Source organism: Homo sapiens, chromosome 20 (genome assembly GCF_000001405.40).
Source record: "Homo sapiens chromosome 20, GRCh38.p14 Primary Assembly".
In the NCBI taxonomy this organism is placed as follows: Eukaryota; Metazoa; Chordata; class Mammalia; order Primates; family Hominidae; genus Homo; species Homo sapiens.
Window position 1 is genome coordinate 61812956 of NC_000020.11, and position 27448 is coordinate 61840403.

The 27448-nt window shown below is 52.5% G+C and overlaps 1 protein-coding gene across 5 annotated transcripts in view, besides 1 other annotated feature; it reads left to right on the plus strand.

Moving 5' to 3' along the window:
• The window catches only part of CDH4 (cadherin 4), a 688357-nt gene that overhangs the window by 560695 nt on the left and 100214 nt on the right, over positions 1 to 27448 (plus strand). The window lies entirely within an intron of this gene.
• Positions 22318 to 22819: an enhancer, noted in NCBI's record as "H3K4me1 hESC enhancer chr20:60410329-60410830 (GRCh37/hg19 assembly coordinates)". NCBI's record gives its function as "activates a minimal SCP1, AML or CMV promoter by ChIP-STARR-seq in naive H9 embryonic stem cells {active_cell/tissue: H9 hESC(naive)}" and the evidence as "EXISTENCE:reporter gene assay evidence [ECO:0000049][PMID:30033119]".

Here is a 27448-nt window from a genome sequence, read left to right on the forward strand (position 1 = left end):
GGGAAACTGCAAGTCCAGACGTGGTGGAGGCGCCCTGCCGAGGCTCTCCGGGCCGCAGGGCTGGGAGTCTCCACGCACACATGGGAGGCTGACTGCGAACCACATCCCGCTGCCTTCCTTTTCAAACAGAGAGAGCAAGGTTTTAAATTATTACTGCCAGAGATTTCAAACAGAATTTCTAACGTCCTTGGCAAACTCCTTTGGTTTTTAGTATTACCAGTGTAAACAAGATTGTGGTGGGGTGACCAGTTCAAATGGTTCACAAGCTCCCTCCAGCTCCTTGGAGGTCCCCAGCTTCGGGCCGGGATCTCCCCCACCCAGGGCCACACCCTCGGGAGTCCACGTGTGTCCTCACTCCCTTGAGGAGTCTGGAGTAATGTACTTAGCTACCAAGCACTGGGCCCCTCAACCTGCCCCTCCCCAGTGCCCCACATGTGCTGATAGCAGGAGCTGGGGGATGAAGTGAGCATCCCTGTGAGGACTCTGGGGACATTCTCTTTCCACCAATGGGGACCTGAGGCTCAGAGAGGCTGTCACTTGCCCACGGTGTCACAGCTGGAAGGCAGTGGCTTCAAACCCAGATGTGTAATTCCAAATGCTGTATAAGCATCGCATCCCCAGCTTCTGGGGCTGGGCCTGGCAGGGAGGGAGCGGTCGTTCTGCTGGCTCAGGGCTGTGTAATGGGGGCTCAGACTCTGGCTGTCGGAAGGGCAAGAACTGGGTGCCTGGGCCTCTTTCGGGGCTCCAGCTTATTTCTGTTTATTTTTATTTTCTCACCTTGTTCCCTTTCCCTCGACAAAGCTTGACTCTTCCCAGGAAGCTATGCCCAACTGCCAGGGATCCCATAGCCTCCTTGGCTCACCAGCCCTCTCCAGTATAATAGATTACCAACGGCCCTACCCCTGCCGCACAAACCCTGCACAGAGGGTGGTCTCCAGTGCCCCTGGGAGCAGCTGAGGCCCTGGCCCACCTTGCTCACCAGGGTCTCCCCAGCCCAATATGTAGCAGGAGTCCATACGTGTCTGGTGCAGGGCTGGCTCCCAGGCCATCCCCATTCCTGAGAATGCAGACCAATTGTTCCAGGCACATCCAGGCCAGAGGAGCCCACCCCAGGTGCCGGGCCCATGTGCAGCGTGGGGAGGGGCTCAGTACGGGGAGCAGGTCCCCACCTTCCTGCTGAGTATGGTAACCTGTGTGTCCTCCATCTGTGGAACGGGGACAGGAAAGGCCCACTTTGTAGGCAGTGAGGCCTGATGCCCCTAAGGCCACCCCAGGGACTCTCTTAGGAACCTCACGCTGTGACCCTCCCAAAGCAAGGCACAAAGGCAAGCAATTTGCCCCAGGTCACACTGCTAGGAAGTAGGGGCAGGATTGGAACCCAGGCCTTCAGAGACACCTGAAGGGCCCTGGAAAACCTGTCCCTCACTGTGGGCCGAGGCTGGCAGATCTGCCCAGGAGCTTGGCAGCATTGACCTGGGAGGCTGCGGCCGCTCGACGACGATCCCTGCAGACCCAGCCCCTCACACCCACGCTCGAAGCCCCCAAAATAACTTGCAGAAAACTTGTTTGTGCAAGAGATGGAAGGCAGAGCTCATGTACAGAGACAACATTTGCAGTGTGCAATTAAGCTGCTTTGCAGCGATGTGGAAATGGACCCCCGTTAAAGGAATAGATCCACTAAATACATACTTAAGATACTGGAGTGTTTGTAATTGCTATCTTCATAAATTCCTGATCTCGTCATGCTTCTCCACAGGGGCGATGAGCACTTGATGGAGTAGCTTCTGAATGTCCTCCTTGCTATTGAGCAAACAGTCTAACGAGGCAGTGCTCACGGTATTCGTGGTACCATGTTGATGCCGACCTTTCCTTGCAGTAAGCCTCCCAGGGAAAGTCAGTCCTCTCTGATCCCTGCAAGGTGCTGAGGCCCAGTCTCCACAGCATGAATTCCATGAGCTCCTCCCACGCTCCGCTCCCCGGCTCTGCAAAGCCCAGGGTGTTCTAGTGCCCGTGTAAGCATAGGTGCTGAGGTTGGGAGGCACCCCTCAAAATGAATTTCTCCCTATCCTGCCTGGCTTTCCGGGAACCCTGGACCTCTGAAATCATTGAATAGGATGCTAGGAAATTCTGCACCCTGAGTTAACTTGGGTTCCCTTTAATATGTTAAGCACACAGTCTCTGCCCTGGATTGCAAGAGATAGGACTGGGGGAGGTGGGGCAGAAAAAGCTAGTGGTGGCTGAGCTACGTACGAAGTCCTGTCTAACCCCAAGGCCACGATCACAGGCCTGACACATCCAGCCACGAAAAGCAATAACAGAGCATCCCAGGGTGGCTGCTGTGGAGGGCGTGGGGCTACCTGTCATGAGTCTCGTGTACGATGCTTTGTGCCCACGAAGGATTTGCCCAGGCTTAGTGGCCTCTGTGATAACTCCAGTAACATCTATGCTGGTGAGCGGGGAAGCCGCCCGTCGCTGTTTTCTAGAACAATCAGAGCTCTTCAGCTGGACTTCACCCTCCACCACATCGGCCCAGGGAGGCTCCGGGAGACAGGAGGAAGACGCAGCCTCTGTCCTGAGCCTCTGAAGGTAAAACCACATGAAATGAAACTCCCTGGATTGCAGGAGCCTGAAGACCCCCTGATGAAACCTCCTCAGAGTAGAGAGCCCGCCTGGTTGGCATCTGTTTTAGCAAAGGTACAGAAGCAGCCTGGAAAGCTGAGAGATTGTGCTTTCGACGCCCGGAGGCCCGGCTGAGGGAGGTCCAGGCCAGAATTAAAATAAACCAAAGGAACACCGGTTTTCTGATTTTAAATCTTTGAAACTGTTAATCCTAGATTATCAAATGCAAAATATGCCCCAGCCAGAAATGCAAAGCTCCCACTTGCCCAGGTTTGGAACCAGGACTGTGTTTATCTGTCCTTGGTTATCCTGGCTGCTCCGTGAGCCGCAATGCCCGCGTTCATTTGTTAAAGCTTCCACTTCTCTCAATTTACAAAAGAAGGTTTAAGGAAGCAATTTCACTTGGCCTCGGCACCAAGGAGCTTAAAGTCGCATAAACCCAGGGAAGCTGCATTTCAGAACAAACTAGGAGGTTCCCCAAGCGGCTCCCAGGAAGTCCAGGAGCAAGCACCCCGCAGAAGGGCAGCTGGGGGGCCCTGGGTTTGTGACCTGGAGTCTGTCCCGTGGCAGCCTTGGGAAGAAGCAGGTTATCTCCAGGAGGTGCCACCATCATCTTCCCAAACCTAAACTTAACAATTGTCTTTGCTTTCATCATCATTTGCCTAATAATATTTCCCCTCTGTGATGTTCACAGAGGATAAAACACACAGCAAGATTAAAGAGTTTTCTCAAATCGCTCCCTGATTTTCTAAATAGAAAAGGGGCCATTCTGGTAGCAGAGTTCAGCTGAGATTCTTAGGAAAAAAGCGATGGAGAATTCTATTTTCCACTTTCTTAAACACCAAACTTATTTTCTTTTATCCTATGAGATGTTAATTCTTATAATAACTGAGGCTATTATATATGTGCAAACTGGAGTTATAAAAAGTAGCTACTATCACAGATAGAACCCATTCTCTCTGCTCCCTGAGACTTATTCAAACAACTGCTTGAGCCGAAATACGCTCCATGTGTTTCCTGCCATGGGTGAGTGGCTGGGGAGGGCTCAGAAGCCACCCTAAGGCAGGCGGGCATTGGAGGGGATGATGGCGCTTGGGTGAATCGCACGTTAAATGGGGGGGGGCGGTTTGTGGGTTTGCCAAGGGGGCAGACACCCTCACAGGCCTCAATTCATCACCTGCCACACCAGTGGGGCATGACCCGCTGCTGACACAGAGCTGGGCCCAGGCCTGGGACACTCCCATCAGCAGGCAGCCCTGAGCTCGCCCGCATCCCCATCCCCCTGCCCGGTGGGGACGCTCAGGGGTCATTTATGTTTGTTCCCTGTGTGTGCCACCCATTCTCATTTCTGCAAGTTAATTCGATATCATGGCAGTGGCTTGGGGTAAAAGGTGCCAGAGAACACCAGACAGCAGGCCTGCACCTACAGGAAAGGCTTGGCCGCCGCATGGAAGAGCATCTGTTTCCGTTAAAGTGAAATGTTCACTCCTTGGCTGGGCACATGGCGACCCCCACTTTGTCTGACTGTGTTTCACCAGCCAACCGCTGGTCCTCTCCCAAACCTGCTGATACCTCTATCCCCTACATCCTTGGGCGCAGCCCTGATACCTGAGTCTGAACCCCAAATCACATGTTTATGTGAGCTCTTGCAGGAGCAAGATCAGGACCCCAAGGCAGGGGCCCCCGAGTGAGTGCCCCTCACCGGGCCCAGCCCCGCTAGGTCCCGGGCTGCACCCAGCTCTCACCTCTGTGCCTTGCTACGCTGCCGCCTCTGCCTGGTTGCTCTCTGGGCTTAGCCTACCCAGATCCGAGCTCTGCCTTGTTCCCAGTTGGTCCGGGAAGGCTTCCCCACCCCCCAAATGGATCTGCTGGGGCCTGAAACACTCCTAGGCCCACACAAGACGCGGAAAGCAACTTCTCGCTTTTTTTTTTATTTTTATTTTTTTAAGAGACCTCGTTCTATTGCTCAGGCTGGAGTGCAGTGGGGTATGCGCTCCTCCTGGGCTGCCTGTCCTGCGCACTTTGTCACCTTCCCACGTGTGCTTTCTTCCACACTGAACAGTGAGTGCCCCGAGGTCACAGGTGTCTGCGCGTTCATCTCTGAATCCACGGCTAGCTATGCCGGGGCATCCACACGTGCCGCCTGCCTGGACAGTGGGTCAGCAAGGTCCGTTCCCACCAGCAGGGAGGAGGCCAGGCTGCTGAGAGCAAGGGCTTGAATTAGGAACTGGGTTAGAGAGTGGAGGCCAACGCACTGCGAATGCCTGGGTTGTCTCCCAGGAGGCCATAGGGAGCCAGCCAGGGTTCTGAGCAGCAGCAGGACACACGCTGAGCTCACAGTTGGGACTTCTTGACCTCCAGTAACCCAGGAATTTGGATCTTGCAGGGTTTCAGATGAAAACAGCCTCACACCTGGGGCAGCTGCCCTGTCACCTGCACTTTCTTTTTTTTTTTTCTTTTCTTTTCTTTTTTTGAGACGGAGTCTCGCTCTGTCACCCAGGCTGGAGTGCAATGGTGCGATCTTGGCTCACTGCAACCTCTGCCTCCTGGGTTCAAGCGATTCTCCTGCCTCAGCCTCCCAAGTAGCTGGGACTATAGGTACACACCACTACGCCTCTTATGTTTTGTATTTCAGCAACACTATCTCACATCACGCAGACAGTGAGGAGGGCTTGGCTTCGAGGCTGCATGCCCTTGCTGGGGTGTGGGGGAGGCCCTCTCTGCACTGTCCTCCCAACCCATCCAGGCCTGATTCTGGGCTTTACTTGGTGAGAACTGCCTTCCAGGTCTCTAGGTCAGAATTCCAAAAAGTGGGAACTTGGCTGGGTGTGGTGGCCCATCCTGTAATCCCGGCACTTTGGGAGCTGAAGTGGAAGGATGGCTTGAGGCCAGGAATTCCAGACCAGCCTGGGTAACATAGCAAGGCCCTGTCTCTACACAAAATGTAAAAGTTAGCTGGACATGGTGGTGGTGTGTGCCTGTGGTCTCAGCTGCTTGCGGGGCTGAGACAGGAGGATTGCTTGAGTCCCAGAGTTCCAGGCTGCAGTGAGCTATGATTGCCCCACTGCACTCCAACCTGAGCAATAGAACGAAGTCTCTTAAAAAACTAAAAATTTAAAAAAAAAAAAAAAGCGGGAAGTTGCTCTCCGCGTCTTGTATGGGCCTAGGAGTGTTTCAGGCCCCAGCAGATCTCTTGGGGATTCCAGGATGGTGGGCGGAAAGGAGCAGGTGGGCTTTCCAGGCAGCCCTCTGTTTATCCACACCCCCTGCGCCACCCCACCCGGCAGTCCAAGCAGAAGGTGACGCATGTCGTCCTAACTGATGGCACAGAGAGCAGGGGGCTCTCTCGGACCTCTGCTTATCCTGCGTCCCAGCCTGGCCTGCAGGGGCTGCTTAGGGTGAGCCCTTGGAACTGTCGGGAGACCTGCTGGCACTTTCTGAGGTGGGCAGCACGGCAGGAGCCATGTGGCTGCGCCCCACATGCCCTGAGCAGACAGAGGACCCTGTCCAGATGGGCTTTTGGGCTCACTGCTGCAGCCCTTTCCCCCATCCTTGAGCTCTGGGGTCTTTGTATCTGCAAGGATGTCACCTCCGCTTCCCAGATAGACCCCCTCAGACAGCCCCACGGCCAGGCCCTGTAGGGACCAAGGTAAGTGGACACGAGAGTGCATCAGAAGCCACCGCAGGGCAGCTGAACCGGTGCTGGCCCAGAAACTGCCCCCTTCTAAGAAAGAGAGAGAACCAGAGCACATGGATGTTGGCACATGCTGCTCGGCTTCCAGATGCATGAGCACGCGTCGCTCGCTCTGCCCCGGGAGCGTTCCATGCATTCGCTCGCTCTGCCCCGGGAGCGTTCCATGCATTCGCATTCTGCAGCCTCCCTCCACACTGTGATTTTCCACGTCTCCCCAAATGCGTCATTAAGATGATCACATGCATTTACAAAGGCGGCCGGGCTGCAGCCCAGCACCCGCTTCATGATGACAGCACTGCACCCCCAGCACTGTTTTGCCATGATTTAGTACTTGTGTACACCAGTTATAAGAAAGTATCACTTTTGATAGCCTTGTGGGTTTTCTCCCCTCCGCTGCTGATTGGTATAATTTATATGAAGGCTCTAAGCCCCCTGCCAGGCTGGGACTGCTGGTGATACACATATAATTACAAACCCTTCTTCCCAGCTTTGTGAACTTCGAGGAGGAAAGACGTTTTAAAGGTGCTGTTTTAGTTGTGCTGATGAAATGCATATTCATTTAGGGGGCCTGGTGGTTATTTAGCTGTTATTGTTCAGCAGGCCTGGTCCTCAGGTACCAGACCAGGCAAGGAGACACAGGGTGCGGGGCTGCTGATCTGATCCCGCGACCTTGAGCTGTGTGCACACCTGCCCGTGAAAGGCCTTGAGCCAAGCCCAGGGGTGGCCACCTCCTGACTTTTCCCGGGGACCGTGTCTGGCCACTTCCTCCTCCCGCACTCTCCCATCCCCTCAGCTGCACCTTGCTTCAGACTCGGGGGGTCCTGCCTCCCGCTGTGGCTTCCTATCCTCTCCACTTGTCTTCCCAAACCGGTTTTGCCCAGAGGGCCCAGGTCACTTGGCATCCCCAAGACCGCCTTCCACCTACACAGCAACCAGCGGCTCTCACTGGCTGCTGCCTGGCATGAGAACTTGGCATCCCCAAGACCGCCTTCCACCTACACAGCGACCAGCGGCTCTCACTGGCTGCTGCCTGGCATAAGAATGCCCTGTGTCCGTGGGGGACGTATGCAGCCACTGCAGATACCACTGAGGCCAGGCTGGTGATCTGAGGGACAGCCACGCAGCTGCGGGCCTCCGGGCACCTGCCCACCTCAAGGCCTTCACATTCAGATTTTTTAAAACCTGTTCTGGTCAAACCAAAGTCACCCAAGGAGGCTCCTCAGCAGCCATTTGCCCAAGGGTCACTCTGTCCACACCGATCCTCACGTCACCCTCACAGCAGTCCCACTGCACCCGCTGAGCAGAGGGGAGCTGAGGCGGAGGGGGCAGGTGGAAGTTGTGGCCAGGCCACGGGGCTCCCACACAGCAGTGCCAGCATCGCCGCCCCCCATCCCTCTTGTGTTCTTGCCCTCGCAGCCCCTCAAGGCCTGGAGGCAGCTTTGCTTTGAAACCCCTGGGTTACTGCATACAGGAGCTTTCCCCTCCCAAGACCCTCATCAGCTTTCTGAAGCCAAGTTGCCTCTGCCCTGACCTTCAAACCTTCCCAGGATCAGCTCAAGGCAGCCAGGCAGGGAGGCTGTGCCCCCTTCAGGCCCAGGACCCTCTGTCCACCTGGGGAAATATGACATGCAGGTAGAAATAGGACAGGCTTTGCGGAGTGAAATAAAAATCCTTAAAATCCTGTTGTGTCCTGGGCTCCAGGTACAGTGCTGGGCCTCAGCATATCCTGTAGTTCTAGGATTTGCGGGGCAGTTCCCGCTACCCCCCGCCCCAAAGCTTTCACCCCCTGCCAGCTCCCACTCCCCAAGATCCCAGGTCCCTAGATGCCACTGTCCCGCTCCCTACCCAGCCTCCACCTCCCAGATCCCACTGCTCCAGTCCCCTCTCACTCCCTACACAGCCCCCACCCCAGCCCAGATCCCACTGCTCCAGTCCCCTCACTCCCCATGCAGCCCCCACCCCAGCCCAGATCCCACTGCTCCAGTCCTCTCACTCCCTACACAGCCCCCACCCTAGACCAGATGCACTGCTCCAGTCAGTCCCCTCTCACTCCCTACACAGCCCCCACCCCAGCCCAGATCCACTGCTCCAGTCCCCTCTCACTCCCTACGCAGCCCCCACCCCAGCCCAGATCCCACTGCTCCAGTCCCCTCTCACTCCCTACACAGCCCCCACCCCAGCCCAGATCCCACTGCTCCAGTCCCCTCTCCCTATGCAGCCTCCACCCCAGCCCAGATCCCACTGCTCCAGTCCCCTCACTCCCTACGCAGCCCCCACCCCAGCCCAGATCCCTGCTCCCTGATGTTCCAGGAGGCAGAAAGGTCCAGTCCTGCAAGTGAGGAGGACGCAGTTAAGGAGATGTCACCTCAGCCAAAACTGCTTCCCCGGGTTTTGGGCTTACACCTGTGCTTCCTGAAAGACCCTTGGGGGGGTCTACTTTGGATCTACAGGAAGGTTTTCCTCTCCTGGGAAAAGCAAAGGAAAAAATCCTACAATTGTAATCCAGCTCAATTTTACAACCATTTCCCAGGCACCTGGATGGCCTGGGTACCATGTACCCGAGAGAGATGGCAGGAGATAAGTGTTACCCAGACATTAATGAGTAACACACCCTGTGGTTCTCCAGCCAGGTGGGCCCTTCAGGGCAGGCTCTGCCCCGCCTCCTTGTGTGGGGTGCAGACAGGATTCCCCAGGCTCTTCATGAGCAAGTGGGGAGAACGTTCCACCCAGCGAGTGATGGGTCTGAAAGTGATTTTTGGCTTGGATAGTTACTAGATTTTGTTTTTCCTTCTTTAGGAGGAAGGTGGGGCTCTGCGCTTTTATTTTTAAACTTCATCTCATTAATGATTTACTTATTTGCAGTAACTCTGCCTTCAGACTTTCTAAGGCCTGTGCTCTAACGTACTGATGAATTATGTGTTCATTACGTGAGTCCTGCATAAAAAACATCTCGATGCCTAGAAAAATTGCTTGTGTAATGGAAACCTTTGTCATTTATTCATTTTAATATAATAACCGTCTTGTCTTGTGGGTGAGTATGATTATCGCACCTCTGATGAGAGCAATAATGTGGGAGACAGTCGTTTTTACAGAGCAGAGCTATTGCTGTGTTTAGATTATCAGAATTTTTATTATGGTGCTAAAATAAAACTGATAACAGGGGAAAAGTAGCAGATACACCTGTAGTTCCCAGGGTGTCTGAGGCAGAGAGCCGCAGCGAAGGTGTGGTTCGGCGACCTCGCTATCGATCTACAAGGTATTCCGTGGTGCCTCCTCTGTGCACACAGCCACACGGCAGGGAGGGGAGGGTGCCAGGTGAGGGACACCATGGCGTCATCTGAGGGTGGAGCAGTCAGTGGGAACATCTAGAGGCACCCCCGACGCCCCTGCTTCCCCATGGAGCATCTGCATAAGTACTTCTGGGCTTCACTGAGTTTGGGGCGGGAAAAGGTCAATTTTCATCAGGTATGGCCCACCAAAGGGCACTGAGTTCATCAAAAGGCCAGCTGCCCATCTGATCCTTCTCCCTAATGGACGAGGGCTGCCTAGCCCAGGTCAGACTCCGGCCACAACAGGGCATGCCTTCCTCCCGTGATCTGTGAACACAGTATTGCCAGAGGAGCAGGTCGAAGATCCCAGGTAACCCAACTGCCGTCACCTCCAGCACAGGTGTGCTGGCCAGGGCTTCCAGAGAAGCAGAACTGGGGAATGCAGGTGCAGGGAGAAGGAGATTCCATTTAAGGAGTTAGCTAGGGCGACCATGGAGGCTGGTAAGTCCTAAGATCTGCAGCCACAGTTCCGGTCCCAAAACTGTCTGATGGAGAATTCTCTTGCTTGGGGAAGGCTGGCCTTTTCTTTCTATTCAGGCCTTTGACTGATTGGATGAGGCCCACTCACACTGTTGAGGGCAGTCTGCTTTACCCAGAGTTGGCCAGTTTAAATGGTGTTGGTGATGGTGATGATGATGATGATAGTGGCGATGGTGTTGATGGTAATGGTGGTGATGATGGTGTTGATGGTAATGGTGATGATCATGGATAGTGATGTTGGTGTTGATGGTGATGATAGTGGTGATGGCGTTGGTGGTGATTACAGTGATGATGATGGCAGTGATGAAGGTGAATAATAATGTGATGATGATGAAGGTGATAGTGATGATGGTGGTAGAGGAAGAGAAAGCTGCAGCCACCTTGTCTTGAGCACTTCCTATGAGTCATCTGAATTACAAACATCTTTGTTTTAATCCTGTCAAGAATTTTCATGCAGTAGGTGTCATACCCACTTTATAGATGAGGAGACCAAGAATTAAGAAGGTCAAAACTTGTCCAAAGATACACTAAAATGTGGCAGGATGAGGACTTGAACCCAGAGCTCTTTGTATCCCAAACCCATGCTTATGATTGTTGACATGGTATCTTCACCGTGAATTTGTATATTTTGAACCCAACTGAATTGCTAAATCTCTTGGTGTCCACTGAAGTCTTTGGTAGCACAAGAATATATGTGTGTAGAACATTTCTGTTGCCAGTTCATGTACATTATTTAGAAAATAACACATGCTATTCTCTGCTAAGTAAATTTTATGCCAAAGGATGACTCTATCAATAAATACTATGTAGTAAAACCATGTAGTGGGGCGGCTTTCTTTATGTGTAAAAGGCATGTTTTATTGAGATTGAAGAGACAATGTCTTTTGGATAGGTAAGGAACTGTTGGAGAAAGCAAAGTCACTAAGGACCATTATTTTGTTTGCCACTGTTAAACACGTCAGCCTATTTTCTTTTTACATTACTGTTTTCTACCAGATGTCTAGAGCAACAGGCTCCCTGGAAAACCTCCTCATTGTCCACCACAGCTTGAGGGTCATGGTGCTTCGTGCCCACTTTCTATTGGAGCATAGCCTCATCCCCTCCTACACTGTCCTCAGAAGCCATTCCCATTGTCTCCATTGTCAAGTACACTGTCCTTAGAAGCCATCCCCATTGCCACCTTGTCAACTACAGGTGTCTGGTGGGTAGCTGGATTCATGGATAACTGGTATGGCTTGAGATGAGTGTTGGCTCTTGACTCTTAAAAAGATGGATAAAAATACAAAAAAAAAAAAAAGATGCCTCCCCCCAACCCCAGCGACATGAATTAAATGGATCAATGATGGTGGAGAGGCAGGCGAGAATTAAAGCAGAGAGACTCCTGGGAAGTGTCATTACAGGGTCACAGGTCTCACCTAAGGAGGTGAAATTCCCATCCTTTTTTCCCTATGCTGAGCCGTCTGCCCTGTTAGAAGATTCTGTGTACGCATATGTTCATATTTCTAATATTGACATCATTAACTTATTTGGAATTAACCAGCATGAACACTTGGTAGAAAAGTAGTCTTGATAAGAAATAGTAAGCCAGTACCAAACAAGAGATCCAGGTCACATTTAATCCAGTTGTAGTGATATCTAGAAGAGGGGGGAAATCCTTTCCTGTGAAGGCCTTTTCATCTGCAGCCTTTTATCCGCTTAGTCTGTAAAGGAGACACTAAGTTGTATAATAATACCGGGCCATGTGCCTTGTAAGAACAGGCTTAACCCTCCTCCTAAGACCACAAAGTGAATTTAAATTTTCTGAGTGTTGACAGCTGAAGCATGAGGTTTCTTCAAGGATGGTGTTGAAAAGTCAGATCGTCTTTCCAAACCTCACTCCTTTCCTGGGACCCCACGGCCACTTTCGTTATCCCATAACAACAGCTATAACTGGGTTTATGGCATGGGTTGATTTTTCTCACTCTACATAGTTTGTAAGTTGGTGATTTTTTTTTCCTTTCATCCCTCCTTCATTCCTTCACCCCACGACTTTAAAAACTATCTTTATAGGCCAGACACGCTGGCTCATGTCTGTAATCCCAGCACCTTAGGAGGCCAAGGTGGGTGGATCAGTTGAGGCCAGGAGTTCGAGACCAGCTGGGCAAAATGGTGAAACCCCATCTCTACTAAAAAATACAAAAAATTAGCCCCGCATGGTGGTGTACGCCTGTAGTTCCAGCTGCTTAGGAAGCTGAGGCACGAGAATTGCTTGAACCTGGGAGGTGTAGCAAGCTAAAATCATGACAGTGCACTCCAGCCTGGGCAACAGAGTAGGACTCTGTCTCAAAAATAAACAAAAACTATAATAACACCAAAATAGACTGATAGACCTAGTCTCTAGCTCTTGCCCCAACACCAAGCTCACTCCTAAGAATGTTACTGAGCCCTGACGAAGGACAAGGCACTGTTCTCAGTGCCTCGTATAAAGATCTCAGTTAATACTCACCCAAACTTTGGAAGGCGAGACTGTATTTATCTCTGATTTACCAGAGGGGAAACTGAGGCAAAGAGGAAGTTAAGTGACTTGCCCAAGATTACAAGGCAGAAAATGGAAGCAGAATTTGAACTCATCTGGTCTAGGCCCAGAGCTGTCTCCCACCTGCCATGCTCCAAGGCATTGCTGTTACATGGTCAGCTGCCTACTTGATTCTCAAACTTTTCATGTCCAACCGAACACCTGACTTCCCTCCAACACCATCTCACACTCCCCATGGGCTTCCCCAAAGTTAATGGCAGCTCTGCCCTCCTGCTGCTCTACTCAGGACCTTGGAGCTCTGCTTGATGCCTCTCTTCGCCCACATCTCACATCCGATTTGTCTCCAGATTTTGTCAACTGTACCTTCCGAACAGATCTAGAATAGGCCGCCTCTCCCACTGCCACAGCGTGCTCTGACCCCAGCCACCATCCTATGTTATTGCCGCAGCCTCCTCACGGTCCTCCCTGCTTCTGCCCTTGACTCTTCCTGCAAGCCATGCAGCAAGCCCAAGGGGTCCCTCTAGAATGCACGTCAGTAGTGTCCCCTTCTGCTCAGAACTCCCAGATGGTGTCATCCCTTCTCGTGGGGGTGGAAGTCAGAGTCCCTGTGAGGTCTCCCTGGGCCTCTTGGGCATAACCTACTCCCATTTCCTATGAACTTTCTCCTTGCTTGCTCCACATCTGCCATCCTGGCCTCCTTACTGCCCTCGGCCATGCCAGCTAAGCTCCCGGCCCAGCGCCTCTGCCTTCCCAAGCACTCTTGGTCTTTTCTGGCTGGAATGCTCTTGCCTCAACACCCACGTGGCTTGTCTCCTTACTCCATCCAGGCCTCTGCTCCAGGGCCACCCTGTCAGAGAAGGCCTTGCTGATGCCCTTATGGAAAACCATGTCTATGAGAACAGCACCACCAGCCCCTGTGCTAAGGAGAACATGCACCAGCCCCTGTGCTAAGCTAGGGCGGTGATGGGGGTGGGGGTGGTTTCAAGAATAACACAGGTGGAGATTTTATGTAAGCTGGTCAGTATTCCAGAGAAGGAAACATTTTCAGCAAAGACCTCCACAAATGTTTGTTCTCGGGTGAATTAAGTAAGTCGCTATTTCACACCTACTGCATGCATTAGGGTGTGCTGGGTCCTTCGAGACCCGTTGATGGCCTAGGATAGCATTCACTCACCAGGCTGCCCACCTTGCTCACCTGGTGGCCTCATGGCCTCCTACCTGTCTCCTCACCTCTGCTCTTGGCCCATCCAGTGCAGAGGTTCTGCAGTCCACAGAGAGGTCTGAAGACAAAACCATGATCCGGGACCAGTAAGTTAAAAAAGCAAGGTAGAGGAAAATGTGCATAGCTATTACCATTTAAGAAGGGAAAAGTGTGTGTGTGTGTGTGTGTGTGTGTGTGTGTGTGTGTGTGTGTGTGTATGTGTTTCCTTATTGTAAAAAAAGATACAATAAATAAAAAATGAACAAATGTGGGGAAGGAAGAGGCCAGGATAGAGGGGATAGAAATAGAAGCTGAACGTCTCAGAATAGACCTCGGTGGATTTGACTTTGAAAGATTTTTACAAAGTTATCTTTTACAATACATTAACAAAGCAAGCCCTGAAAATCAAAAGCAAAAGGGAATCAACGCGTCCGTCTATCAAGTTGGTGACATTGCTACACCGGTGGGAATTATTTTAATTATTTTAAGTGACTTTAAGACGTGATAATTTTACTTACATATTCCTGGTGGGATATAGTCCAAGACCAAAAAGAAAAATCATAACTACTTTCAGTAACCATGTTGTTTGGGATTTATTGGTATTGCTATTTTGAGACTGTTGTTTGTGTCCTATGGAATAAAGCAAATGAATAAGTATTGAGGACCAGGATTATTGGTATGGGAGAAAGGAGACACAGATGTGAAATCAATGATTTCTACTACCTTGTAGTCCTCAATTTGGTTTTAGGTATTAATGTGAACTCCTGATATATGACAACTTTTTTAAAAAATGTATTTCCTAGCTCTATCCATTATAGAGAAATAAAAGACCAGCCCAATAGCACTGAACACCCAAGCCCCTAGGCTATGGCCTCTAAAGACCGTTTCCTACCAAGAGGAATCAGTGCTTCTTAGAGAAAATTTAATTCTAGGTAGGAAATGTACAAGATGAGACCAAAACACTTTGTCACACCAGCAGGCAAATGAACACTCAGAGACGACAGGGTCACACCAACAGGACACCCAGGTCAACTTGAAGATGCTCCCACTGGTCAAAATGGAACAGTTTCTCAGTGTAGCAATTGCAACAGATGGAAATAGATCTAGTAGGTTAGATTCTTCAGGATTCTTTACAAATAAATAAATCTCACGGGTCACCCTTGAGGAAGCTAAGTAACCAACTCATTATTTTGAAAACAGGAAAATAAAGCAAAAGAACTAAGCATTTTCCTGACATTTCTATATGCCCACTGCCTCAAGGTAATATGACGGGAAGTTGCACCTCATAAAGTTTTCCACCTGATAAATGAGGTAGAGGTGATGAAATATTTCTATTTTGTGATCTTTAATGAAATAATGGGTCTAGACAATGATCATTAGTGGCTGCTAACCTCCCAAAAAATTGATAAATAAAAGAGAGACAGTGGCAACGAGAGAGACCAAGAAAAAGAGAGAAAACAGACATTACCCGCATCTAACGAAAGCACCCACCACCCGCCACCTGTGAAGTATTTGCCTCCCCCCATTACACATGATCCTGACCTGGCCTCTGGATCTTACCACCATGTGTAGGATACAAAAGAGAGGGAGACAGATTAAATCTCACCATAGGGAGAAGCCAGCAAAATCCAGTCCTGGGGAAACTGTAGGACCAACGATCTGGTTTCCTCAACACATGAACCACAAGAAGATAGAAAGAGAGGGAGGAACCTCTAAATTCAAGGGGATCTAAGAGCACAATCAGCTGGTGGCAGTGTGTGCCCCACCTTCGGAATCGACTTCTTGCTCAGAGGTCCTGAGGGGAGGGTCCTGAGGAAATGGACTGCTTCCCAAGGCTCTTCCTTCCCTTTGCTGATGGCCTCCCTGTGGGAGTCCTGCAGGCTTGGCTCAGCTCCCAGTCTCTGCACTTCACTTCTGTGTGGCCTTGGCTCAGACACTGAGCCTCTCTGTGCCTCTGCTTCCTCACTTATAAGCTAGGCATGATTATTTTACCTGCCTCAGCGTATGCTTGTAAAGATAAGATAAGCAGTCCCTAACCTTTTTGGCACCAGAGACTGGTTTCCTGGAAGACAATTTTCCCATGGACCCAGGGAAGGAGGATGCTTCCGGGATGAAGCTGTTCCAGCTCAGATCATCAGGCATTAGATTCTCACAAGGAGCGTGCAGCCTCCATCCACATGCGCAGGTCACAACAGGGTCCACACTCCTGTGAGAGTCTAATGCCACCACTGACATCATGGGAGGCGGAGCACTGGAGGCTCTGGCAGTCATGCTCGCCCGGCCACCACTCACCTCCAGCTGTGCGGCCCAGTTCCTAACAGGCCACAGACCGGTACCGGGTTGGGGACCCTGCTTTAAGCAGTCGCTTCTCCTTCCCTGGCCTCGCCCCCAGCAGCCAATAACGTACTTCCTGTCTCTATGGATTTGCCTGTCCTGCATACTTTGTGTCAATGGAAGGAGGTATTATGTGGGGTTTGTGTCCGGCTTCTTTCGCTGAGCATAATGTTTTCAAGGTTCAGCCATGCTGCAGCTCGTATCAGAACCTAGTTCCTTTCAGGGCCAAATAACATTTCACTGTGTGGGTGGACCACGTTTAGCCACTCAGCAGCTGACAGACACTTGGCGGTTGCACTTTGGGGCTGTTGTCAGTGTGCTGCCGGGCACGTCTGTGTGCAAGGCTTTCTGTGGACAGATGTTGATTCTTAGGGTGTCTGCCCAGCAGTGGGATTGCTGGGTCACGCATGCAGCAGCTCTGCTCGCCTTTCTGGAGGCCACGAGCCTGTTTTCCACGGCGGCTCTGCGGGCCTCCTGTTGAGGAAGCCCTGGCGAGTGGGGGCTCCTCTGCCAAGCATTAAATACGGACTCACCACTGGGGACGGACTTGGACTCCAGGAGCCCCCAGGAGGCTCCCTCTGTGCCGACGCCCGTGGGCTGCAGACGGGTGGGTGACTGTGGGACCCTTGCTCAGCCTCCAGCTTTGGGGCTGATGGCTCTGCCCCCAGGGAGTCTGTGCAGCCCTCCTCCAGACCCCAGTCCCCTTGGACCAGGGGCAAAGCTCATTTCCCTCATCCCTCCCGCCCCTAGCCTGCTGGGGTGGGAGGGACGAGGCTCCTGCCCGGCCGGCCCTGGGGCTGGGAGGCAGGTGTGGGAAGTGCAGGTGGGTGGTTTGGTGTGTTTGGCAAGCCGACCCAAACTCCCATTACATGCTATGGAAACCCTTGCAGGCCCCAGATCTCTAAATTTTTTTTCTGTCCCCCACAGCCCTACCTTCATGGGGACTGCCCCCCAACCCCACTCCCGCAGTTCTACCCCCATGCCCCACCCCCACACCCGTTCATGTGACCCAGATCCATCTCCTTGGAGCCCCCCGCCCCCAGGTGAAATTGAGCATGCCTCCTGTTCTCACTAGACAGAGGCTCCGAGGGAGCAGGCGAGTCCTCTCTTGTCAGAGGCCACATCCCTGCACCTGCGCAGCACGGCACATCCTGGGGCTCAGCGTCCTGCGTGGAACATACTCAAGTCCATCCACATCCTCTGCCTCAGAGACAGCAGGCCCTAAGCGTGCTTCCCCGGGACCCTCCCTGGGCTTCTACCGCCTGCCACACTCCACCTGTCCCCCTGCATCCAGGAGGGCAGCACACACCTCCCGGGGCCTCTGCCATCCGGCCCAGGGCCACCACCTCCCAAGGCCCCCCAGGACCTGGCCAGCCCAGGTTGCCCCGTTTCTGCTGCTGGTGAGGTGGGGCTGGGCTGACAGGAACCCCAGGAGATCTGCAGCGGCCCCGCCTCCCAGGCCTCCCCCATGCTGAGCTTGCCCACCTCAACAGACGCCCTAGCGTGTGCTCCGGAGAGACACTGAAATGAACTTGGTCCCCCTTCCTCACCCATTAAGTTCTTCCCCCGAGGCCAGAATCCATCGCAGGCAGGCCCTGCAGAGCGGCAGGAGCGGGCGGCGCTGGCTTCACTCCGCGGTCATTTACTTCCGCTTCTGGGCGCCCTTTCTTGCCTCTACACATCTTGCTCTTGGTCGCACGTGCTGAGTCTCGGAGCTGCAGGAGCTTGCCAACTGCCCACCTCCGCTCCTCTCTCCTGATGCCCTGTTTGTTGATGGTGCAGGAACCCGCTGCTGCAGTTAGGAAATTGAAATGTCAGTCGGGAGGGCTCCTGGAGTGGGGTTTGAAGCTGAGCTCTGAAGGCCTCGAGGGCAGGGAAAGGGAAGAACTCTGGGAAAGAGGGCCGGGGTCTCGCCCCTCCTGGAGGCACTGGCTACCCTCAACTCTTGGGGGAGCTTTTGTGAATGGAGTTTGCTTGAAATCGATCTTCTCAGCCTCCTCACCAGCCTCACACTGGCGTTATGTCCCTGGTAGACCAGGCGGCCAAAGCTTCCTTCCTGTGGCTGCCCTGACCACATCTGGCACTGGGAACATGCCCTGCACTTGAGGATAAATAAAAGTGAAATTTCAATTAAAAGGATAAATCATGGTGATGGGTCCTCGTGGTGACCAGCAAAGACCTGGCCCACTTCCAGGCTGAATTTCAACTGAGAAGCAGCCATTTCTTTGTAAAAAGTTGTCCATTTTAGCGAGCAGTGAAGTCTCGAGGGAAGAGCCCCAGGCCTCTGTTAGCAGAGCCTGTGCTCAAATCCCTGCACCTGTAGAGCCTGCACCCCCTCCAGGACGGGTGAGTCCCTTGGCCACAGCCAGGCCTGACACCCCGAATGCGCTACTCCCTGACCTTCCATTAATACCAGCTTTTCGCTAGCTTCTGGTCTTATGCTTCACCTGAACCATGCAGCAGGTCCCTGTCCTCATCAAACTTTGATGCCGAACAAAGCAAATGTCCGGCAGGCCACAGTGCAGCCTCCTCCCCCTCAGGACCCCAGGCCCACCCTGCACACCCTCATGTGGTCCCTCCAGGCTCCTGGGCGGGGTGGGGGGACAGGGATTTCTCCGCAACATACCACCCCTGCAGTGGGATTCCCAGCGTTAAGGGGAGAAGGTGTCACTGGCACGTGGTGTGCACAATTCTGAATCCTCCAGCCTCTCCAGCATTTGCCTTCATTCCCACAGAGGCCGAGAGGCTCATGGCTTCCAGAAGGCTATGAGATGTGGCACAGGCACCCGACAGGTAGGACTGGCTGGAAGCCTCGGGCCTGGGCAGGAGCGGCTGGAGCCTGCCTGCATCCACTTCCTCCTTCCATCTCCTTTGACCAGGAGACCACCTTGCCCACTCATCCTGCAAGTTGGGTGGATGCTGCTGCCAACCCAGGCCTGGTAGATGTACCCATTCCAACCTCCAGCCATGGCAGCTGCTTCAAGGCTGGGGTAAGAGCCAATGAGTGTCTGCCCCAGGACATTTGACGGAGCTGTCTGGAAACAGCCACCTTCCCTACTGAGGCAGGGAGCTGGTGGGTCAGAGCAGGGGCACTGGGGCCAGGACACCTGGGTTCTGGATCCCAGCTCAAGGGCTTGTGAGCTGTGTGATCTTGGGTGAGTGACTCAACCTCCCTGTGCTGCAGTTTCCTCATCTGTAACAGGGAAGGGCTGCATATGAATGGCCTTGTCTGTATTAACGGCACTGCCTTGGGTTGTGGTGATGAGTAAGTGAGTGGATGGATGTAATGTGACTAGTGTACTAGTTCATTTTCACACTGCTGTAAAGATACTATCCAAGACTGGATAGTTTACAAAGGAAACAGGTTTAATTGACTCACAGTTCCACAGGGCTTGGGAAGCCTCAAGAAACTGACAATCAGGGCAGAAGGCGAAGGGGAAGCAAGGACCTTCTTCACATGGAGGCAGGAGAGAGAAGTGCGAGCAGGGGACACGCCAGACACTTATGAAACCATCAGATCTCGTGAGACTCACTCACTCTCATGAGAACTGCATGGGGGAACTGCCCCCATGATCCATTCATCTCCCACCAGGTCTCCCTCTCAACACCTGGGTATTACAATTCAAGATGAGATTCGGGTGGGGACACAAAGTCTAACCATACCACCTGGGGTACTGCCTGGCACTGCAAACTAGTTAGGGAAGCATCCGTTGTCATTACCATCATCACTGGTTCTACGACCTCTTATTTCTGTGCCCCTGACACTGATGCTATTACTAGTACTGTCAAAATTGTAATGTCAGCCTATTGCTGTTACCCCTGGGGCTGCTAGGCTGATGGGATGTAAGCACAGAAGTGTGAGGCAGCAGAAGGGGAGAGAGTACCTGCGAGTCTGAGGGGTGGGCTGAGCAAGTGCTGAGAGCCCCGTCAGAATGGTCACCCTCATAATGGACTGAGCACGGTACTCAGCCCCCATGAGTGAGTGAACACAGTACTCAGCCCGCATGATCCAGCCATGCCTGAAACCCACACCACTCCAGGATAGGAGCCAGCACATTGCCTTTTTGCTTGAGCCAGTTACATTGGGATTTCTGACGTTTCCAATGGACGAGACCTAAAAGTGCCATCATGCAGTAAAAACCTAAATTAAATCATTTTATTCTTGTGGTCTGGGACCTCCAGGCTGGATATACAGATATTTATTGCCCCTTGTCCCTTGTTTCATTCAATCATCCACTCTGGTTTGCAGAGCACTTTCTGTGTGTCTACTAGTATGCAGAGCTCTCCGGGGGAGACAGCAAACATAGTATTCCGGCATTATTACTGATTAAATTAATGATTAAACCAATATTCAGCCCACATTTAGTGACATAGCATAGTACTCAGGCCTCATTACTGACAACACAAAAAGCCCAGATTTATTCACAAACATCAGTATTCAGCCTTCATTTATTGACAAAGCTCAGTATTCAACCCACATTACTAAGCAAGAGTACTCAGCCTTCATTACTGACTGAGCACAGTACTGAGCCCTCATAACTGACCAAGCACAGTACTCAGCCCTTATAACTGACTGAGCACAGTACTCAGCCCCCATGGTGACTGAGCACAGCACTCGGCCATCAGCATCGAATTACAGACACTGCAGATCCTCAGTTACCATCTTTCATATACTCTTGGCAACAGCTCTGCAGGCTGGATTTAAAAAATCCCATTTCCAGATGAGGAGATAAAACCATTTCCCAAAGTGAAGAGCCAGTGAGGAGGCGCCCCCTCCTCTTCGTCTATGGGAGCACTGCCTGGAGGCACAGGGTGCAGGAGTGGGAGACATCCATTCTGGCAGGTCTCCTTCCTATTGGCCCAGCGTGGGTCACATGTCCTTCCTAGCCAATCACAGTGCCCAGGGAGGTGCACTCTCATTGGTCCACGTGGGGTCCCATGGCTGTCCTGGGGCCAGGTGGGATGGTTCCCCCACACAGTCCATGCAGAGCAAGGGTGGGCCGGGGTGATTTCCAAAGACTGGCAGAAGTGGGTCTCGGCAGGCAAAGCCAGGGCTGACGGCAACCTCCTTCTCGGGCCTGACTCCAGCCTCATGGCTTCCTTGCTGCCCCTAAATGCCCTCCTTTGCTGCCCCTTGCCCCCCCTCACTCAGCTGCCTCTCCTTCTGGGGCCTGTGGCCTAGGATCTGGGGCCTGGGGTCTGGGGTCTGGCCTCCATCTTTTCTGCTGGACACTGGCCCCCTTGGGCTCCCACTACACCTGCACCTGTGCTCCAGCCCAGGCAGGGTCTAAGCTCCCTGCATCTTCCAGCCCGGCCCCCAAGGGACAGGACCCTGCTCCCGTATCCCCAGCAGTGTGGCACATTTACAGGGGCAGACAGGTCCTGTTAGAGGAAAGTAGACGCTGTGTGACAAGACCTTCCAGAGACAGGTGGGGACGCGTGCATTAAATATCAATGAAGGTTTTCTGACGAGACTCCTGACTTCTCATGTTGGAGCCAGAAAATGACAGGGACTAATCAGGGGATGGCATGGGCGACACCTCTGAGGGCGAACACGCTGCGCTACAGGTTGACACTTGGCGCTGCCTATCCCCGCAGCCTCACGGGCTGAAACAACAAAGAACCCGTCTCGGCTTTGGACTTGGCTTTAGCTGTGTGGCTCTCTGATAGGCAGGATTATTCCTAGCCCGAGTCAGAAGCAGAAGCTGCCTCCACTCTGGCTTCTGTGCAGTGACAGCTCTTGTTAGCCATCAAGTTCAAGGAGCTCCTTGGACGCCTCACATCTGCCCCAGACAGTTTTCAGAGAGTCTCTCACTCTTCTGAGCAGCTGTCCAGACACCGCTGGAGGCTGGTGCTGTGTCGTCACAGACCGGCTTCCTAAGCTTACAGTCCAGTGGGCGAGACAGAAAGAATGCAGGCAACAAAATAAGAATACAGAGTTCATTTTTTGTCTTGTTTTGTTTTGTTTTAGAGAGATGTGGGCTCACTGTGCTGCCCAGGCTGGTCTTGAACTCCTGGCCTCAAGTGATCCTCCCGCCTCAGCCCCCTGAGCATCTGGGTCTACAGGCATGTGCCACCATGTCCAACTAAGTTGTTGTTGTTTTTTATTTGTTTTTTATTTTCTTTAAAGACAGGGTATGTTGCCCAGGCTGGTCTTGAACTCCTGGCCTCAAGCAGTCTTCCTGCCTCAGCCTCCTAAAGTGCAGGGATTACAGGTATGAGCCACCGTGCTGGCCAGTGTTCTTAATAATAAAAAAAATAGCTGGCCATGACAAGGGCTAGGATGACAATTCCACTGGGTGTGGTAGGCACTGCTAGTGTAGCCAGGTCCCCTGGGAGCCAGCCACCCAGCCCCTGCCATCATGAGGTCGGCTTCTTTGCTAATGATTCACAGCTGGACACCTCCCAGAAGACGGAGTGGGGCTGGGAGGTGCCTGGGAGGAGGGTCGGCCCACAGAGGCAGCCTCCTGGCCTCAAGGCTCAGTTCATACACCAGGGCTTCCCGTGGGGTGAGGCTGAAATGACCCAGGCTGAGACATCACTCGTCCCTCCCGCTGGTTCTAGGGGCTCTCCCTAGTCAATAACTTGTACGAGAATCCCTGTCTTGGGCTCTGTTTATAGGGACCCCAACCTAAGACACAGGGATCCAGAGGTCCAGGTGGGCCTCTCTGTGGCTGAGGCCCAGCCCTGAGCGCCACAGTCAGGTCGCCCTCTGGTCAGCTCTGTCCTGCCGGGCACTGTGTTAAGGGCTCCCCAGACAGCACCAGGTCAGGCAAAGGCTTCAGCTTGCTGCACCTGCAAACTCCGACTGTCCCGAGCGGAAGGACCCTGCCAGAAGGACCCTGACTACCCACAGGCTGGAGGGGAAGGCCGGCCGGTTGGGTGATCCCAGGGCTCTGGGTCTTGACCGGGCTCTGGCATTGCAAGGAAGGGCTCCATCTGTGTTTCCACACTGGACTCATTCTTGACTCCAGGTCCACATTGGTGAGAGAAGCTGATTGACCCAGCTTAGCTCCTGGGCCTGCCCATCGGCTACGGGGAGGGTGAGGCACGTCGGTTGTATTCCCAGGACCACTTACCATGGGAGAACAATGACGCCCCCGGAGTGAACTGGCCTTTGTTTCCAGAAGAGCCGGGAGAGTCTCCTGCAATCCCATGCCAAAAATTCAGGAGGTGCCTCTCTCTGTTAATTTGGTGCACACTGAAGGGCATTTTTGAGAAGGAGCTAATTCACTATTCCCCACCGGGCAGATCTGTGAGAACATATTCATGCCTTTTATTAGCATTCATATGACTTTGAGGGGCTTTTTGTCATTGCTAAAACTCAAAGTATGTGTGAACAGTTCTGTATGATGGTGTCAATGTTACACAACAAATGACTTCTCACTTCACATCCCGGGCTTTTCTGCTCATTACAAGAACCTAATTGAAAGTAATTGAAGGCTGAATTTCATCATGCATGAAAAGTATTTCGGAAAATGCAAGAAATACAAACATCTTCAAACCTCTTAAGTAATGTTCAAGAATCAAGGAAGAGTTGGGGGGAAAACAAGTGAGAACCCTTACTTGGCCCCACATTTGTCCAATTAATTTTATGAGAACAGGTTTCACGTCGCCGAATCTTGCTGGTTATCCAGTACCATGGCAAGGGCTTTGGAATTACACTTTGCATCAACCTGGAAGAATCTCACGCTGGACGGGGTTACAATTTTATAATCACTTTCCATTGAAGTAAAGTTCTAGTCCAGGACCTTGGAGAGAGACTTTTAAAAGTGGGGGTAGGGGGTCTGGCACACTGGCCCATGCCTATAATCCCAGCACTTTGGGAGGCTGAGGCAGGAAGGTCACATGAGGCCAAGAGTTTGAGACCAGACTGGCCAACATAGTGAAACCCTATCTCTACAACAAATTTAAAAATTGGCCAGGTGTGGTGGTCCACACTCTGGTCCCAGGTACTCAGGAGACTGAGGTGGGAGGATCACTTCAGCCCAGGAGTTGAAGGCTGTCGTGAGTTGTGATTGCGCCACTGCACTCCAGCCTGGGCGACAGAGCAAGACCCTGTCTCAAAAAAAACGGGGTTTCACTTAGCACTTGCATCCCCCAAAGCTGCATTTGTAGAGCTGGTGGGAGTGAGAGAAGGGGCCAGGATGTTCGTCTCCTGTGGAGCATCCAGGGGCGCTGAGAAGACACTCAGACCCTGTGGATGGCAGGGAGGGAACTCTTCTGACCCCTTCCAGCTTTCAGAGGCTACTTAGGCCAGCAGTATGATGCGGAAACAGGAGCTGGGAACTCTGCCCGGGTCATCACTTACTCGTGAACCTTCGTCACATCCCTCAGCTTCTCTGGGCCTCAGTCCCTCCATCTTCAGAATGGGCTCTGTGAGATGGTCAGGTGGGGCTGACGCTCTGAGATTTTTTTCAATGGTCCCTTAAGGAATTCCAGGCGTGGAGGGTAGAGGTTTCTGGGTCTCCTCTTCTGTGCCTGCTTCAGGGTGAATGAGGAGGCTTCTGAGGCTGTGGTGAGGACACACAAGGCTGGGAACTGTGATTCCCAGGGACAGACACAGTGAGAAGCAGGCTGAGGACCAGCCTTGGGAAGCCCCCAGCGACGCCGTTGTGAGGGGAGAACAGAGCACCCCCCCCGTGGGTCTGTCCCTCCACAATCCGCCCCAGCCTCCAGGAGCCTTCCTTCTCCTCCTCCTCCTCATGCTCTGGAACCCATGTATCATCCAGGCCAGCCCACTGCAGGTTGCTGGGTCGGCCACATCTCCCTTCCTCCCCTCCCATCTCCCTTCCCTGTGGCCTCCCTTCCTGTTTATTTTCCCTCGTGCAGAGGCTCCCACATTCTCTCTGATCGCTCCCCAAGCCCTCACCTCCATCCCCACCTTTCTCTGCCTGCTCACCGTTTTTTCCTCTGGGTCTCGGGGTGGCCTTTTCTGCTCCAGGAGGCCTCCTTAGGGCCAGGACAGCCTTGGGTTTCCCTACGCAGCTGGGTGACTGGGGCCGTCTACCTGCCTGTCTGCCTGTCTGCCTGTCTGCCTGTCTCCCCTGCCCCTTGGGCTGCCTTCCTCATTTCACTTGTTTGTCCAGGAACGGTTGGGCCCTACCTACCAACAGGCCATCCCTGGGGACTGGCAGCCCCGTGTGTGTTCCCAGGGCCTAGAGAAGGGTGTGGAGGGGAAGGCAGGAGGTGGGGAGGTAGGGAGCCCTCGGCTGTGCAATGCAGGCAGGGGAACAGACAGAAACCCTGAGAAAACTCTGATGTTGTTGGCAAGAAAACCAAGAAGCTCAAGCAGGAGCACTGGTTGGGGCCACGGAGAAGCTGCAGGTGCAAATGGGCAAGTTGCCTTCTTCCCTCAAGGCTCCCATGAGACTCAGATCCTAAAAGAAAATTGCCTCTCTCGGCCAGGCACGGTGGCTCACACCTGTAATCCCAGCACTTTGGGAGGCTGAGGTGGGCAGATCACCTGAGGTTGAGAAGTTCAAGACGGGCAACATGGTGAAACCCCGTCTCTCCTAAAAGTACAAAAATTAGCTGGGTGTGGTGGGGGGAGCGCCTGTAGTCCCAACTATCCTAGTCCCAACTACTTGGGAGGTTGAGGCAGGAGAATCACTTGAACCCAGGAAGTGGAGGTTGCAGTGAACCAAGATCACACCACTGCACTCCAGCCTGGGTGACAGAGCAAGACCCTGTCTAAAAAAAAAAAAAAAAGAAAGAAAGAAAAGGAAAAGGAAAAAAAAAAGAAAAGAAAATTGCCTGTCTCAGCAGGCCAAGTGCAAGTCCGCCTGCCTGGGTCCTGTGCCTTCGGGATGGGGCAAGACGGCCATGGCACCTGTTGGCACCATCCAGAGCTTTTACTCCATGGAGAGAGGGGAACTGCTCCAGGCAGCTCAGAACTCCCAACAGGCTGCAAAGGCAAGGGTCTGCGATCTGTTTTCCTGGGAACATCTCTGGGCTTAATATCATAGAAGGAGAAAGCTGAAACACCTCGCTGAAGAATTACATCCTTCTGGAAGAACTTGATCCAGGAGATTTTTAAAGTGTCTTTAAAATGCTGGGACAGGAACCAAGGGAGGCTTGATGAGTGGCAGGCAAGGCCCATGAATGCAGAATGGCCGCCCCTTTCCATTCTGAAAGGATATCCCGCCGGGTGTGCATGGGGGAGTGTGTGTGTGTATTGTGTTCTGTGTGTGTGTGTTCGTGCGTATGCATATTTTGTGTTTGTGTATGTTTGTGTATTGAATGTGTGTTGTGTGTGTATGTGTATTTGTGTTGTGTGCATGTGTGCGTGTGTGTGTGATGTGTGTGTTTGTGTATTGAGTATGTGTTGTGTGTGCACTGTGCATGTGTATGTGTGTTTGTGTATATGTGTGTATTTAGTGTGTGTTGTGTGTATGTGTGTTTGTGTATGTGTATTGTGTGTGTTGTGTGTGCATATGTGCATGTGTGTGTGACGTGTGTATGTGTATTGAGTGTATGTTGTGTGTTTGTGTACTGTGTGCATGTTTGTGTTTGTGTCGTGTACATGTTTGTGTATGTGTATGGTGTCTGTGTGTATTGTGTATTTGTGTGTTTGTTTATGCGTTTGTGTATTGAGTGTGTGTGTTGTGTGTACATGTATGTTTGTGTGTTGTATATGTGTTGTGTGTGTACATGTATGTGTGCTGTGTGTGTATTGAGTGCACATGTGTGTTGTGTGTCTGTGTGTAGGTATGCGTATGTGTATGTGTGTTTGTGTATTGTGTGCTTGTGTGGTGTGTGTGTATGTGTGTACTGTGTGTGTGTGTGTGTCATGTGTACATGTCTGTATGTGCATTTGTGTGCATGGTGTGTGTGTGTGTCCAGAGCTGTGTGAGGCAGTGGTCAGGACCAAACTGACTCACTCTGACCCTGACTTTCTCCAAGGCCTTCCTTGCCCAGTGCCCCAAGGGGTCTCCCAGACCTTGCTCTACCCCGCAATGCTTATCCTGATGTACAACAACAACTTAAGGGGGTGTCACTCGTGGGAGAAGCCCTAATTCTGAGAGTGTCTGTGTCCGTCTGCGGGCTGACTGAGAGAGACCTTCCCGACCGTGCACGTGCACTGGGACAGCTCTGGCTGACAGGAGGCCCTGGTGCAGGGGCCTTCCCGGTGGGTGGGTCTCTCCCTCCCCCAGAATCTGGGTGTAACTCTCTCTCCCCGGCTTCCACCCTTGAAAGCTTAGGGAATCCACCTCCAAAGTGTCTGCGATTCAAAACCACACAGGGTGACTTTTCTCCAGTTTCAAGTTCATTTG